Source organism: Homo sapiens, chromosome 8 (genome assembly GCF_000001405.40).
Source record: "Homo sapiens chromosome 8, GRCh38.p14 Primary Assembly".
NCBI lineage: Eukaryota > Metazoa > Chordata > Mammalia > Primates > Hominidae > Homo > Homo sapiens.
Window position 1 is genome coordinate 2,665,064 of NC_000008.11, and position 17,000 is coordinate 2,682,063.

A 17,000-nucleotide genomic window follows, 5' to 3' on the forward strand; every position below is an offset into this window, starting at 1 on the left:
AAAAAAAAAAGAAACCTTTCTGAGCTCCTACTATATGACTGAATATACAGAAATGAAGAAATAAATAGACTCAGTTTTTCAATAACTTGCAGACTAAAGAGAAAACAGAAGCCCCAGCCACCTGGGGGCGGGGGAGGGGGGGCCTGACGTTAGAAAACACTAGGCCAGGTCTGCACAATGCAGCAGAAGAGTCCGACCTCAGGGCGGTGCACCTTCTTGACCTGAGATGAGACTAAGGCTAGAACGTTCAGAGATGGAACAGCCCGAGCCAAGTGATCGTGTGAACGGTTCCATGACCCTGAAGAACGAAGTGGGTGCGGCAGGACAGGAGACTGGTCAGGCAGAGGCCAGGTGAGGAGGAATCTCGTCTGTTGCCCTGAGACCTGGTGGACAAGGTGGAACCACTGAAAGGCACCTCCCGTCAGGCACACACATTAAGGACTCGTGACTGAAGGATGTTGGTTTGCATAAAGCTAAAAAAGCCCTTATCACAAAATGTGTACATGCAATGCCTGGTAGGCATAATGAATGTTGTGGAAACTGTTCTCAGTCAATTTCTCTAAGTCTTAGAGAGAGCAATGGATTATTCCTGTCTGTATTTTACATTATCACAATTTTTGTATAGACAAAGCCAGTATCTTTAGCTTGTCTGTCTCCCTCATCTGCGCATACGTACGGAGCATCGTCACCACCTGTTGGAATGACCTGAAGTGCAACAAAACTCCATACAGAAAAACCAGATCTATAACAGTGAGGCCAACAAGTTCCATTCTTATTGGAGGCAAGCACCCAATTCAATTAGCATCCAAATGTACAAAAATGAGTAATGTCCGTGTCACCCACGTAATGTGTGTGTTCTGAGGCCACGATCCCTTTAGTCACAAACAATGTCAACACATGCAAATCTCCGTCTTGTGTTTACAGATTCACAGTATGTAAATTAGAACAAGAAAATCATATCAGAACGTTTTATGGATACTGTTCTCAAGTATTTTAGTGTGACTTGGCATAAGGGAATGAGAAGGCGCCACAGAGGGAACTTGAGTTGATTGCATCTGGTGAGATAAACCCCAAGAAATCCTGGCTTGAAGACATCAGGCTGATGTGAGTAGAGAGAATGTGAGCCTGGGAATAAATCAGTGGAGAATTTAATGAGGTAAAATGCTTTGAAGTGGTTTAAAGTAATTCTTAAAGTGATTTTTAAATTGCACAACTAAAACTTGCCGAAAAATACAGCTGTTTTGTAATAAGTTGAACTCAGGAACAGCAGTTATCACTTTTGTTTTTTGTCTATGCCATGAAAGCCTGTCTTTGCAGAATTCCAAGTCCTCGAATAAAAGAAAAAACCACTGCTACTATTCAGGCAGATAAAACTCAATGATAAACATAGCTTGTTTAAGCTAGAAATCTGGGAAAAATTAAAAATGGAAATGCCACTTGCACCATCAGGGACAAATCTACTTGAAAAATGAAACTCTTCATGGAATCCCCACTAGGGCCATCCAGCCATTTCCCAGTGAGAGCATATTGCATTCAACACAGGCTGATGTGCGAAGTATAAAAGACGTTGCTATTCCCATCTTCACTGTAAACGTACAGTCAAATATCACAGCCAATTAATTAAATCAATTAACTAATTAACTAAACCTGAGCAACTTCCGATTTGGATTTTGTCTTTCCATTCCTCCTACCATTTCAAGATCAAATCTTGCTGAACAAGCTCTATCTAAGCTGCTTTAGGTGGTTTTTGCTCTTTATTTTTTTCCTTCATACTCTTATCTTTCTGTATGAAATATTTTGTGGTGAACGCAGCTATGTTTAATTTTGCCTGGCCTCAGTTTTTTTTTTTTTTTTTTCTGTTGTTTTTAAACACAGGAATAGGAAATTACATCTTCAGGGAGAGAAAATTATTCCAAGTCTCATAATTGTTTAACCTGGGAACAGAAAATTATGTTGTTTTCAGACTTCATGCCCTAAACATTTCAAATTGTTCTTACCGTTCTAATCTAAATTATGAGCCCTGCGTCCTTCTCAATCATGTGCTGTATTCCACACACAATAATACAAACCACAGTCCTCCGTTGTGTACGTGTATTTGCCTATCAGATTTCTCTAGAATAGAATCACAGTAAGGGTGATGCTCAAACACATCTTGTAAACATTGACTCTCAAATACCTGACTCAGAGCCTGAGACATGTCTTGTGCTAATAAACATGTGACTAATTATATAAATTTACAGCATAAGAAGGGCACGTGTAGATAGTGGCATGTGATTTATAAGATATGTAGGAAATTATCTTTGCTTGCTGTTTATAAGATAGCGTGCAAAACACCTGCTCGTTGAACAGGTGTTTATGCAACACCAACTCATTGAACTGTGAGATTTCTCCTAGTGGCAGAGTGTCCATTTCCGGAGAGGGTGTCCTATCTGAAGGGCTGAGCTCTGGAAGCCGAGGCTGTGCTCAATATTTCTGCTCACTCTCTGTCCCTCCTCTTCTTTCTGTGTGCTCTGTCTGTCAGAGGATTCTGATGTATGTAAAAAATCACATTTCGCCAAATTCCTGGCTGTCTGGATTATGGATACAGCTTCAATTTTCATATGAGACATTCTTCTGAGGGATTAGGAAGTCAAAACAGAAGTAGAGACATAGAGATAGGTGTGGATTCTCAGGGTGCAAGAGAAGGCATACAGGTATGGAATATTTAACTGATCTTGTCAGATTTTCTGAAATAAATATATTAGCTTCCATAGCTGAAGGGTGATCCAATTTAGTGTCTAGTAGTTGCATAAATTCGGGTCTAACTGGTGACCTGTATCAAATATGTGTGCAATACTCGAGCATCCCTGGTATAAGGCAGAGAGAAGGACTGAAAGGCTTGCATGGAAATGCTGGGATAAACGACCATGAATGGCTCCCACCTGCCTCCTCTGCTTACATCTCTAGGACAGTCCAGGGGACCACTCAGGTCATTAAGGTGCATGAATGACGGGAACTCCAACATCCTTAAAGAGCACAGTAGTAACTGATTTTGAAGGCCAGTGATAAAGGAGTGGAAATGACACCACCAAAATGAGGTCCTGGATGTCAATAAGCATGACAATGCACCAGAGGATGGGGCGGGCGTGATGGTCCCAGAGGGTGGCAGGGGCGGGGGTGGCCTGATGGCACCAGAAGGCGGGGGGGGGGGGGAGCTGATGGCACCAGAGGACAGGACAGGAGCTGGCATGATGGCACCAGAGGGCGGTGATGGGGGGAGGTGTGATGGTCCCAGAGGACCGGGAGCAGGGCGTGATGGTATCAGAAGGTGGGGGCAGCCATGATGGCTCCCCAGAGGGCTGACACACAGAGCTGGAGCTCACTAACAAGAGAGAAGGTGGACTTGGTTACTGTAGTGAATAGTAAGGTTGGGATAACAATTGGGATGGTTTGACCTGCAGGGAGCTGCCGCTAATTGATTATGGTATCCATAGGAGTGTAAAAGGGAGGCTGAAAACTAAAGCTTTGCTTGATTTTTTTTAACTCGGACTCTTATGTTCTATTTACCCTGCTAGATATAGGTTTTATTCTTTTCTAATGTGATCTGGGTCAAAATTAAAACAACAACAAGAACAATCCTCCTTGCCATTGGCTCCAGTTGGGTTTGTTCAACAAGGAGACCCGGTTTGGCGGAAGAAACTAAAGGGAAGCAACATAGTGAGGCCAGGGTATTTATTTCCCGTAACACCCAGCCAGGCCCTCTCAGGATGGCCACGTCCCTGGATTAAAGGTAACTGTTCTCCTCATTGCAGCCAGACAATAGGAACATCTACTTGCGTTTTCTTCAACCCAAACTCTCCCCCTTATCAGGTGTGGAGTAAGTGAGATTTGAGAGAATGGCCTTCCTGCTGCTAATCTCAGAATTATTTCTTGAACATCTCCCACAGCCTAACCCATGCCTTTGTAAATAGTCCCTTTCCTGCCAAAGTTCTGGAGAAGGCACAGCCCAAGGCTAAAATGTCAAGGAATCAGCTTAACTGGGAGGGAGAAGCACCCAGCTGTGAGTTAGAGGGACTGGGGAGTGAGAGAGCCAAACAGAGGTAGAAGGTCCCTCTTCCAGCTCTGCTGTCTTGGTGTTCAGGAATTATCCTGAGGGGATGCAAGGAGAACCACACCTCGGTCTCCAAGAGAGGAAAGGATGGGAAATGTATCTGACTAAATCTCACTAGTATCCCATTCTCCCAGTTTGCACCATGGGTCCGCGGCTAATTCCACACACCTGCTCTCTGGCCCGGCATTTGCACCGAAAGCAGCTATCCTGTGTGGTGCTGCATCCACGTTTGGAGGTCGAGGGGCCACCCCATTTAGGTGTTGTCCCAACTGAAGTAGGGAGATGATCAGAAGAGTATGAGAAAAAAACAAAAGATTGCTGTACAAGTCGTTTTGAAAATTAACTCTTCTTGAGCAACCCAATTTCAAATGAACCCTTCATTTCCTGATGCTACTCTAAGTGATACAGTAAGAAAAAAAAACAATATGCAGGTTGATGATCACGAGTGACTTGACATGGGTCCACATGGAGAGTCTAGTCCCTCCATACTGACAAAGCTGAAGCTGAAAGGATGTCACACCTTTGGTCTCCCGCAATTAAGCACAAGTGATGGTGGGGCTTGGGAATGACCGAAGTCTCCCAGGTCACCTTGGAATCCGCTGCCATCCCTTTTACCACCAGACTCACCAGGCTTCCAGCGCTGAGTGGAGATCAGGGCAGAAAGGGTCCTGCTGCCGCTCAAGGCGTGGGGCAGCTGCTGTTTCTGCTGAAGACTTAGGACTCAGGAAGTCACAGGTTTCTGAAGGGGCTATGGGAGCACAGAGGGCTTCCTGGTCAGTGGCAGGGACGACAATGCTGCAGATCAGGAGGAACCTGGGAGCGTCTGGGGAAATCTTTAGTCGCAGAGATTCATGGGCTGGGAGGGAGAGGGTGCATACACCTAAGTGAGTGTCTCCACAAGGCTCCTTCTCCAGATCCCTGGGTGTGGCACACTTTGAGTTTTGGAGCCAGAAAACAATGGCTAGCCCTCTTATTAACAGATTTCTTCAGTAATTCTCAGGATCAATGATTAAAACAAAACAATAGCAACCACAAAACAAAAAGAAAAATAAAACAAACCGCACACATCACATACAGGGATATTATGATAAAAGTTAACACCTCTGAAGCTAAACAATAACTGATACGATCTCCATGAGTAAAAAAAGTTACACAAAAGAGAAAAACTGAATGAGACTAGCAGTAGTTAGCGGTGCCAGATAAACTACAGAACACAAGTTGTTTTTCAATTTCCAAAGAATAATATATATTACATATTTTTATTAGGTTGGTGCAAAGTAATTGCAGTTTTTGTCATTAAAAGGAATGGCAAAAACCGCACACTTTTGCACCAACCAATATATAAAAATATGTATTATGTATCTATAATGGGCATGCATTATATATCTCAGATGCTGAGACATATATTATATAAGTATATCTATCTCAGATATTGTACAGGATATACTTAAAGGATATTACTTTTTTGTTTGTTCCATAAAAATAAGTTTGAAAGTTAAATGATAGAAGTTGAACAAACCCAATATCCGTCAAAGTGAAATTTAAGATTAAAACATGAATTCGTGAAATAAGTTGAAGACAAACATTAAATAAAATTTCATATGGTATGAAATGGCATAATGAAGGGGGTATAGCAAACATTAACCATTCTAGACCAAAGAATATAGCTGTTCAATTTACAAAGCAAAGATGGTTCTAAATTTGGGAGAACTTTATAATTTATAATCTTGGTAGATGATAATCATACATCTCTTTTAGAATATAGCAGACATAATAAAGTAAAAATTAGTGAGAATATAGAGAAACAAAAATATATAATAAACACATGTGGTTTAACAAATGTCTGCAAAATGATATAGCCTATACATAACTAAAATCAATATTTATGTCCACGGAGAAGTTCCAACATTTTTTCAAGTACTGTACAAAGTAATTTTGAAATGCTGGAGATTACATTTTTAAAAAATCTAATAAAAATACAAATATAAAAATAAAAAACAACCTTAGCATCTGTGAGGTTTAATAAAGTCTCTCCAAGATATCCTTACATCAAAAGATGCAATTGTAAATTGCATAGAATTCAATGAAAAACAGAGTACCACTGACTAAAATAATGCTTAGATATCAATGGTTGTGCAGTTTAATAAAAAGGAAATTTTTCCTGTCATTGTATCATATTTGAACAACTTCACCAGAATAAACCAAATGGAAACACAAACTACAAAATAATAAGAAAAAAGTTTAAATTAATAAAGCAAGAAACAAAAAGCATAAATAATAAGTAACTAGAAACCCTGGTTCTTTGTAAAAATGAAACAAAAAAGGTATTGAGCACAGTAATGCCAAAACAGAAAATATAATTAGAAATGATGAAAACATCATATAACCACAGATATAGAAGAGATGAAGTATTATAGGCTAATAATGCATGCAACTGTAGTATTATATCTTCTAATTCAGAAGCCTGGACAATTAGGCTGATTTTGTACACAGAATATATATTACCAGTGTTGACTCAAAATTGAATAGAACATTTGAATCAATCACTGAAAGTACCACGTACATTTTTGGAAAGTTGATGAAGGAGACATCGTTAAAGAGAGATTCGTTTTGTTACTGAAGTACAACTTAGGAGTGGATTGTTTTATATGGTAGGATGTTGGACAGCTCCCTGGTTCATTTTATGGCGGCAAAACCTAACTATGGGAACAAGATAAAGTCAAAAACAAATCAAAACAAACTAAACCCAAAGAGACAAAGAAGTACCCAGAGATGATTTCCCTTGTCCACCTGACTCGAGAGCTCCTCCACCACTGGTGTCCTCGGACGAATATTCAACATGAGCCACAACGCCCACCGCAAGTCATCTGTTCACGTTTCTCTTTGGGGTGAGTTCTACACTTTTTTTTTCTTCAATTCCCTGACCATTCACCCAAACGACTGCAGTCTTCCAGCCAAGGGAGGCTTGTCTCCCTCAGGAGAAGATGGAGAGCAGCTTCACTGGCAAGGGAGACGTGGGAGGGAATTCGGAACACACATGTCTAAAAATCTTCCGAATTTTCCCCACAGCTCCATTCTAAAGCTTGGTAGCCCACTACGTCTCAGTGTTGTAATTAGCACATGACATCCTCGAGACCCCGGGGGTTCAATGTACATCACAATTTTGCAAAACACAATTAGATTTAGAGTCTTTTTTTATCCGTATAAAAACTCTATAGTTAAAAGAAACAAGAAATCCCTTTGGCTCCTCCATAAAAACTCCTGTCTGACTGTGCTTTGAGCTGAGAGTTCAAGTTTCTCATTTTCCGTGTCTAGGTGTCCAGTGCAGTTGGACACAAGCGTTCCCTCCACAGACCTGAGTTAGAAACACTCAGCACCCCTGGGGTCCCTTCACGGGCCACTCCAACCAAGCAACCGCAAGGAAAGCTACATGGTTACGAGGCCACTGAGCCAGGCATTACGTACTGTCATGGAGGGGTAAACAAGGGCCCCAGGCCCAACCCTGAGACCGTTACTGCCACAAATCACTGCACCTGAAAGCATTCCGTCAGGAGAAGGGAGCCACCCTCAGTTCCACCCAGAGGACATGTAAATAGGGCTCGGGTGATGTGCTGGGGGGACTAGGAAAGTGGAAAGGAAAAAGGGAGAGGTTGAGGAGCAAAATGGAGACATGGAAAGGCAAGAGATTGTATATTCATAGAGATATAGGGAAGGGGACAAGATATTTTAAAGCCCGAAGGAGCAGACTTGGAAATAAACAAGACTGGGATTCAGGCACAGCTACCTACCTGCTTTGACAGAGGTCTTGCTCCAGCAAAGGCTGAGACCAGCGTTCAACCTGATGCCACTTACCATGAGCAAGAGAAACACAAAGCTGCACAGAGCCAGGGCACGCAGGCACCGGGAGTCCGTGTGTACAGTGAGGAAGGGAGAAGGCCCCTGGGCTACCCAGGGAGTCCTAGTTTCTGAATGAAAACGAAGCCACTTTGTGTCTCTCCCACCCTCTCTCCCTTTCTCTGCCTCTGTGTCTCTGTTTCTCTCCTTCTCTAATTCTCCACCTTCCCTGTTTCTCTTGCTTTCTGCTGTTCTCTTTCTCTTCCCCCCACTGTCTCTGCCTACCTCTCCTTCTCTCCTGCCTTTCCCCCTTTCTCTATTTCTGTTTGGTCTCTCCTCTCTCTCTCTGTCTTTCCTCTGTCTTTCTCACGGTTTCTCTCTATATATTCCTATCTCTCTAGATGTAGCTCTGGCTCTATACCTCTCTGTGAACTAGTAACAAGATGCAGCATGTAAAGTTATTTTCTCAAGGATATATTAGTCTCTGTAAAAAACATTTTTTCTCTCACAGTACTGTACATGTCAATGTGATTTTATTAAAACCTATTCCACCCTTTGATTTATAGAGGCTTTTCCCCCAAACTCTATTATTTATAATTCACATGATGGTATAAACCATTTTGTAGGTCAAATAAGTTTGGGACCTGACTTCATAATCTTTACTGCCACGATAATATATAATAAGCTCAGCGGGAACTATTTTAAACTCAAATGGAATTTCTGTCAGCTAATTCCTGAGATTTTTAATCTGACTTATAAATTGTCAAGTCTCAACAAGTATCAGCCACAAAAATAGGTATAAACGACATGAAGAAAATGATTTCAGTGGTAATACCAGTTAATTTGTCAATTATCACATCATGACAGAAAATAATGTATTTCATTAAATTTTCTTAGGTGTTGATTATTTCTTGTGGATCAGAAATGATCTTTTGCTTGAAAATAAATCACATTGGGAATTGTATAAAATTGGCAGAAAGTTAACCATTTTTGCTGTTCTGTACATATTTTAAACAAGAAATTTTCTACAAAATCGGAAGATGGACTTTTGGGGCTAGAACTTTCAACTATGATGTCCTGTGTTAACACAGAGAAATCTTATTTTAAGAACTGATTATATGAGGCAGAGCCAAAGCATGCTAATTATTTATCAGCCTGACTAACAGTTATGCTTTTAAGCTACTGAGAGGGTGTCATTGTGCTTGCAAATACTATTTTAGCTATAGCAGTTGGTTTCTGGTGGAATTGTATCAGCGATTTACTCCAAATAAATTTAAATGCATCAATTTCAAATGCAAACGGGACAATGTTACATCAGATGACCTACATGGGAAGGACTAAAATGATGACACAGAGGATGGTCCAAGGTTGACCAGCCGCCAAAAACCCCGAGACAGACAGCAGGACAGAGGGAAGTCCTCTTGGGCGCAGGCTACGCAGTAACAGAGACCTACCCCCAGGTTCACCACACACGCAGGGCAATCCCTGGACAAGACATCGGCATCGATGTAGAATCAGAATCAGAATAAATGATTACAGCCTCAGATTAAGAGGGAGTACCCCTTTTAAATGGCAGATGAAGACAATGAGAAGCCATTTGTTCACCTGTCTGTCACACACATTGAAAAGTTACGCGGACTTCGTAACACAGAATGGAAATGTGGGGGTGTTTGTGCCACGCCCTTGCCATCCCGAGGTGAACAAGCCCACAGCTAGGAACACAACAAGAATTGTAATATCACCGTGGGTTGGAGAGCTGAGTCCACTCTGGCCCTGGCTGTGGGCTGCAGCTCCGAAATCCTCAAGGAAGGTGGCCTGGGTCTCTCTGCTGTCACTGAAGGGGTTGGAACTGAATTACCTGCAAGAAAACAAAAATTATAATGTTCTCCTCATCGTCTGTGAAGTGAGTAGGAAATACAGAGGACAAAAGCAAGAAGAATCTCTCCTACTAAGTCTTAAAAAAATAGGACAGCCTGTCAAATGGGCAGGGCCATGAGTGGAAAAAGAAACAACTATTGACACTGGGGGCCCTGATTTCTCCCACGCACATGCTGCGCTGCTGAAACCTTCCCTGGAGCCATTCCCTCACAGCTTCCAGAGGTTGTGGGGGCATAGCAGGTGAGCCTGACACAGATTCCCCATGACACAAGTTACAAACAGTGTGAGGAACACCAGAAAATAACTATCCTCCCAAATAAAGCAATTATGAGTGAGAAACCAAAATAAACATCTTCAAATGTTCAAAACGATTAAAAAAAAAACAACAGTAAAGCAAAATCAAAATTGTCTAAAATTATTAGAAAAATGACTTTTGGAATGAGAAATACAATCATTGAAGTTAATAGCTCAATGGACGGTTTGAAGTAGGAACCAAAAAAGCCAAATAAAGCCCAGTGATTCATTAAATAGAGCAGAAAAAAATACAGTCGAGAAAAAATATGGAAAATATTGAAATGATCTAAAGGCATAGAAATAATAGAACAAGAAAATCCTATATGTATATCATAAAAATTAATGGAAGATTTGGGAAAAATGTAATATTCCAAGGTATACTTCATGGCAATTACTCAGATACGGAGAAAGGAAATACGTCCTCATATTAAAATTTTACAAAGTGTTTTTAAAAGGTGTTTTACAAAAACATCTACCCCTGAAGATATTACAGTAACATTACCGAGTATTACTGAGTATTAAAAAAAAATCTTCATAGCCACACAAAAACCAACCAGCCAACCAAACAATCTAAAACAGAAGAAAAGTTGGAGGATGGCAGACTTCTCGTCAGAGCATGGCGTAACAGTCTCCTCCCCGCCCCCCCCCCGTGTTTTTTGATGTTGTTGTTGTTGTTGTTGTTGTTTTGGTTTTTTGTGGGGTTTTTTGTTGTTGTTTTGAGACAGAGTCTCGCTCTGTCGCCCAGGCTGGACTGCAGTGGCGCGATCTCGGCTCACTGCAAGCTCCGCCTCCCGGGTTCACGCCATTCTCCTGCCTCAGCCTCCCGAGTAGCTGGGACTACAGGCGCCCGCCACCACGCCCGGCTAATTTTCTGTATTTTTAGTAGAGACGGGGTTTCACAGTGTTAGCCAGGATGGTCTCGATCTCCTGACCTCGTGATCCGCCCGCCTCGGCCTCCCAAAGTGCTGGGATTACAGGCGTGAGCCACCGCGCCTGGCCTCCCCTGTGTTTTTAAAGTTGGCCTGGAGATTGGTGATGACCATTGGAGATTGCATTACTTTTCCAACTGTGGCTTTCCACTAAAATTACAAAGGGAAATGTAGAAAGGAAAACGTGTGAGTGCGGGAACCAACAACAAAGATGATTTACATGAAGGAGGCTCTTAGAAAGAAAGCATCACACGAGTGCATGATGTTTAAGCTCTCAGCTAGCCCTTAGAGTGTAACTGCCTCTCCATCCTCCGCCCCGCATTCAGGGGTCCTCCCCAGGGGTCTCATAGCTCTGCCTCTCCTCCGTTACCAGGAGGTGCCCTGCTCATGCATCCTGCCCTCAGCAGACAGAAGATCTCTCTCGACTTCTCCAACTCTTCTTGTGCCATCCACACAATCTTGCCTTCAACTATTATTTTATTTTATTTTTTAGGAGGTAGGGTCTTGCTCTGTTGCCCAGGCCAGAGTGCAGTGGTGTGAACAGGGCTCACTGCAGCCTCAATCTCCTGAAGTTCAAGCCATCCTCCCACCTCAGCCTCCATAGTAGCTGGGACTACAGGTGCGTGCCACCACACCTGGCTAATTTTTATATTTTTTGTAGACACGGGGTTTTGCTGTGTTGCGCAGGCTGGTCTTAAACTCCTGGGCTCAAGCGATGCCCACCTCAGCCTCCCAAACTCCTGGGATTACAGGCATGAGCCACCGTGCCCGGCCTTGCCTTGATTGAAAACAATGGAGTTGTAGAAGCCTTTACGTAGCCCACAGCAGGCCACAGGTATTTGCTATCACTGTCATTCATCCTTAGGGCACAAGATTTTGCTCAACAACTGTATGCTTCCTTTAAACTTTATTCTGCTGATGCATACTAGTAGTCATCTTTCTCCCCCTCTCAAAAATTAAACTTTTTTCAGTTAAAAAAAACTAAAAGAAACAAAGAAACATTTTTTACTCTCATTCATTTTCAAGAACTCATTCTACATTTTCCAGACACACCAAGAAAGCACTTAAAAATGTAATGCACTTAATTTTCAAACTCATGTGTTTGATGTATGAAGCTTTACTCTAACAATGGAATTTTCATTTTTCTAATCCTCTTTATTTTAATCCAGACATGAAGATTTTAGAAAATGTTCTGCCCGTGTTGAGGCTTACGCAGAAACCACCCAGCAAGCAGGACCCTGGCCGGATGTTCTTGTTTGACTGGTTTCTGACTAAACACTGATCTGCTTCTTCAGTATCTTCTGTCTGAATAAAGGAATATTTAGAGTCTGACTCAATGTGTTACTCATAAATCCTAAAATCTCCAACTTAAAAAATATATTTAGGATGGATCTTAATTTAGCCCACTTTTTAAAACCTCATAAACCTCATTTATTTTTCTTATTTTGCATTTTTAAATAGGGAATAAGTGTACGATTCTAATTAAAAGGGTAAATTCTGCCATATACAAATAATTCTTAGAAGCTGAAATTCTCCAAATGCACTTTTCTTCTTGTAATAAAAATATAATGAATTCCTCGAGATGACTTTGCCATGTACATCAGTCTTTGAACGTGAGAAAGCAGAATATGTGTGAGATGACGGGTGTGTAATTTGGGTTCAAATGCGGTGTTGATTAATCTGTTTTATGTTGATTGTTCTCATTTCAATTCTGGATTTTTCTCATTTTAATTCTGGCTATTCTCATGTCTTTTCTGACCACCGTGTATTCAAAATGCTCATGCACAGCTACTGTGGACATCTAAACCTTGAGGCACTTTAGACAAGAAAGTATCGAATAGGCTTTGGTGAAGAAAGAACAAAGATTATTAAATTATTAATCTGGAATAGGTTGTTTTAAATTATAAACTTTGCAAGTGGCTCATATATGATAGAAGCACACATATGAATACATAAGGCCCTTCATATATATATATATATATATATATGTATACACACACACATATGTGTGTATATATGTATACACACACAAATATAATACATGTATAACTATTTTATCATTTTTGTGTACATAATTAAAAGCTATAAAGGAATGGTTATAGCTGCTTGTATCTGTTGCATATTCATCATAATAGGCCAATAAATTAATGTTAATTCAACATTTTGGACTTAACACTGTAATGAGAAATAAAATTTAGTTCGTATGAAAATCAAAGTGACATTTTCAAAAAGAAAGTCATTTAAGGTTTTTATAACTTGGAATCATTGAATTAAATAGTTCAAATATTTCTGATCCTGAGTGAAAAATACCTATTTTTACATAATTTTAGTTATTAACATATATTATGATTTTTTGTTAATCATTACATAAAATATTTGATGTTTCCGTTATGACAAGACACAGTGAAAATTACTACAGAATAAGGATGCTTCGATTAGAAATTGTCGATGGAAGAGCATTTCCAGCTTTACATTTTTAACTGAGTAGCTTAATCTGAAAGATTTTTTATTTTTTGTTGTTGTTTGTTTTGTTTGTTTGAAACGGAGTCTCCCTCTGTTGCCCAGGCTGGCGTGCAGTGGCGCGATCTCGGCTCACTGCAAGCTCTGCCTCCCAGGTTCACGCCATTCTCTTGCCTCATCCTCCTGAGTAGCTGGGACTACAGGCACCCGCCACCACACCTGGATAATTTTTTGTATTTTTACTGGGGACGGGGTTTCACCGTGTTAGCCAGGATGGTCTTGATCTCCTGACCTCCTGATCCACTCACCTTGGCCTCCCAAAGTGCCGGGATTACAGGCGTGAGCCACCGCGCCCCCCCTGGTTTTCTGTTGTTGTTTTGTTACTTTTGGTCTAGGGAAAAAAGAGATATGCCTATTTGTTTATGATTTTTAAGATTCCTCATATCTAAGGAATTCAGTTAAAATACATATGGCTAGCAATTTTGAGTTCTGCGAGGTGATGGTTTTCTTAGCCTATTTCAGATAGATTTTTCCAGCTGGGGATGCACTCCCAGGTCCCAGGAAGACACCGACGAGGAGCCAATCGTTGGGGGGCTTGTCGCTGACCCGCTCAGATAAGGTCCTTCAAGGACCGTGATCCCAATTCATCCGCAGAGAAGAAAATGGGGGAGAGTTGAATCACAAAGACACAAGGATTGTGTCATTGGAAAATGTACACTCAAGGCAGTTTAAGAAATGATTGTATTTGCTGATTTTTCAAAGAATGCTAAAACATATATATATGTATATATATGTATATATGTATATATATGTGTATATACGTATATATATGTATATATATACGTATATATATATGTATATATGTGTGTATATATATGTATATATATATACGTATATATGGACATGTACGCATACACGTACATACACACCACAACAGAGAGAAATGCATTTGATCCCCCTCAGAACTGGTGCACTAGCTAGGAAGGAAACCAGCAGCTGGACTCACCTAGTGAAGTAGCTTTGAGCAGAACCTGTGAAGAGTGGTAAGAAGCAGGGAAAACAGCACACCCAAATCAGCTTTCATATGCTAAGGCTTCCTCGTAAACTAATGTGGCATTTGCACAAAACATTGTAATCCTTGTCATCAGTTGGGTACTAACAAAATGTAAAAATTTTGTTTATACTTCATTCCATCTCTTCATTCATCCATCTGTCCATTATCCACCCCCTTTTTTTTTTTTTTTTTTTGAGATGGAGTCTTGCTCTGTCACACAGGCTGGAGTGCAGTGATGTGACGTCAGCTCACTGCAAGCTCCGCCTCCCGGGTTCAAGCGATTCCCCTTCCTCAGGCTACCGAGTAGCTGGGATTATAGGTGTCCACCACCGCGCCTGTCTAATTTTTGTATTTTTATTAGAGATGGGGTTTCACCATGTTGGCCAGGCTGGTCTAAAACTCCTGACCTCAGGCGATCTGCCCACCTCGGCCTTTCAGAGTGCTAGGATCACAGGCGTGAGCCACGGCGCCTGTCCAATCCGCCCATTTTTTTGTAAGAATATTGTAGAGATTTTTGTCCCCGGTGGTCCACGGACCTGGACTGCCCATCTTGTCTCCTTAGTATGGAAATAGTGTCATCTAGTGGCCTTTATAACTGCAGCCCAGCTCCCCCACCTGCTTCCTGGAGCCATGGCTGGTCAACTGTTCTATGGGATGCAGTGGCTCAGGCACCCATCACCCCATCATGTGGCAGCTGCTGTCCACTGAAAGTACACTTAAAAAATGAGTGAACCAGCTTCCTTATGTAGAATGGTTTTCTGCCAGGACAGTTGTTTGAAATTGGCAGTTATACAAATGGGTCCATTTTATACAATACTTGAGTAGCTGGAATAGAGACTGCAACTCTTAAATAGGTGTAGGAAGATTTTTAGACCATTTCATCATAATTCCATTTTTTTTCTTCTGAGGCCTGAGAAGATGTCATAACCAGCTTCTCTAAACTGCTTCGTGTTCACCGCTTTTGCCACTGAGAGGAGATCGGGTACCAGGCACTGTGGTGTGCATGCCCTTTGTGGGCAGTTGTCATTTTTGAAAGCAATTTGAGCTCTTCTAAATTCTCTCCACACACTGGCCCATGTCCCGGAAGGGCTCCGATCTTTCTTGCGTGGGCAGGATTGCCAATCCTCATTCTGATTCCTGACTGCAGGGTTCGTGCATGGATCGCGGGATGCCCGTGTGAGTGGGTTATTAGGGCCTTTCAGAAACTCGATTGTGCTCGAGCGTCCGTAAAGACCACTGGAGCCTCTGCCTTCCCCGCGGCTATTTCTAACTGCCCAGGCATCCAACGAGCAAACAGGGCCAGCAGCAAATTATCCCGTGGACATCTCATCCTACTGAAACATGATGAGACTGTTTTGAAGCTTCCTGCCTAAAACATATTTATGTTATCTTCAGAGTGAAAATCCTGCAATTTGACTTGCATAGCATTGACATGACTTCAAAATAAAATAGCTTCCTTTCCTAATAATTGAGTTAGCTCTACAGTGTAAAAGTCGATAGAACAAATATTGCTGAGAAAAGCAACTTTCCATTGATTTGTTCAGGAATAGACTCAACAAGTATGTACATACTACCCAGAGAAAAGCCATGCTTTGCTTTCAGAATCAAAACATTTTAGGGGAATAGTGTAGGATTAATCTTCAGTTTTTGCATCAGGCACCGGAGTATGCTGAAAACAAAATTAAACATAAATTATAACTTTACATAAAAGAGTTTGGGAAGGAAATAGATGACAGAGGCGTAACTATAATAATGATTATAACAGGATTTCTTTAATTTTCAGTCAGCATTATACCTCGTTTGTCACTTATTAACACCTAATTTTCTTTATTGAACTGTTACTTTATGTACTCCCAAAACCATGGAACAAATATTGATCTAACACCTCCCAGGCATTAGGCAATATCATGTATTAATAAACTGTGTTTTCACTTACCTCATTTCTGATTCTACCAAGGACAAAACACCTTCTTTATTTAATCTTTTCTGCTTAAAATGCAAAATAACCTTGAATGAGTTTTTCAAAGCTCCAAAATGAGGAAAATGCATTCGATTATGTTTTTATAAGGTCAATACTTTAAAATTTTTGATCAAAACTTCTTCTAATGCCACTTTGAATTACGGTTTCAAGTGTTTTGCTGGGTAAGCAGCATATTACATAGCCAGATTTTTCTACCATTTGATCCACTGACTTTATTACACTGTGTTTTGTGTTTTATGTAACGAACTAGAAAATCTCTTTAAATGGAGGTTTTCTCATCTGCTCAATTACGGTGATAATGCATACAGCTAAGGCTGTTTGGAAAATCCAATGAACTTATCTCTACACTCTCTGGCAGGTCGCGGATTCTCAGTGATGTTTCCCTTCCCTTCCCTTCCTAACTGCGTGTTTCATTCATAGTCATGCAGAGGGACTATCGATTTACCTTGAACACACCTTTTTATTATAAAACTACATTCT

The 17,000-nt window shown here is 41.0% G+C and overlaps 1 long non-coding RNA gene across 1 annotated transcript in view; it reads right to left on the minus strand.

Moving 5' to 3' along the window:
* Nucleotides 1–17,000, minus strand: part of LINC03021 (long intergenic non-protein coding RNA 3021) — a 198,360-nt gene that overhangs the window by 134,972 nt on the left and 46,388 nt on the right. The window contains exon 2 of the long non-coding RNA NR_125425.1: nucleotides 9,667–9,782. This is a non-coding gene — a long non-coding RNA (long intergenic non-protein coding RNA 3021). The remainder of the gene's footprint in view (nucleotides 1–9,666; nucleotides 9,783–17,000) is intronic.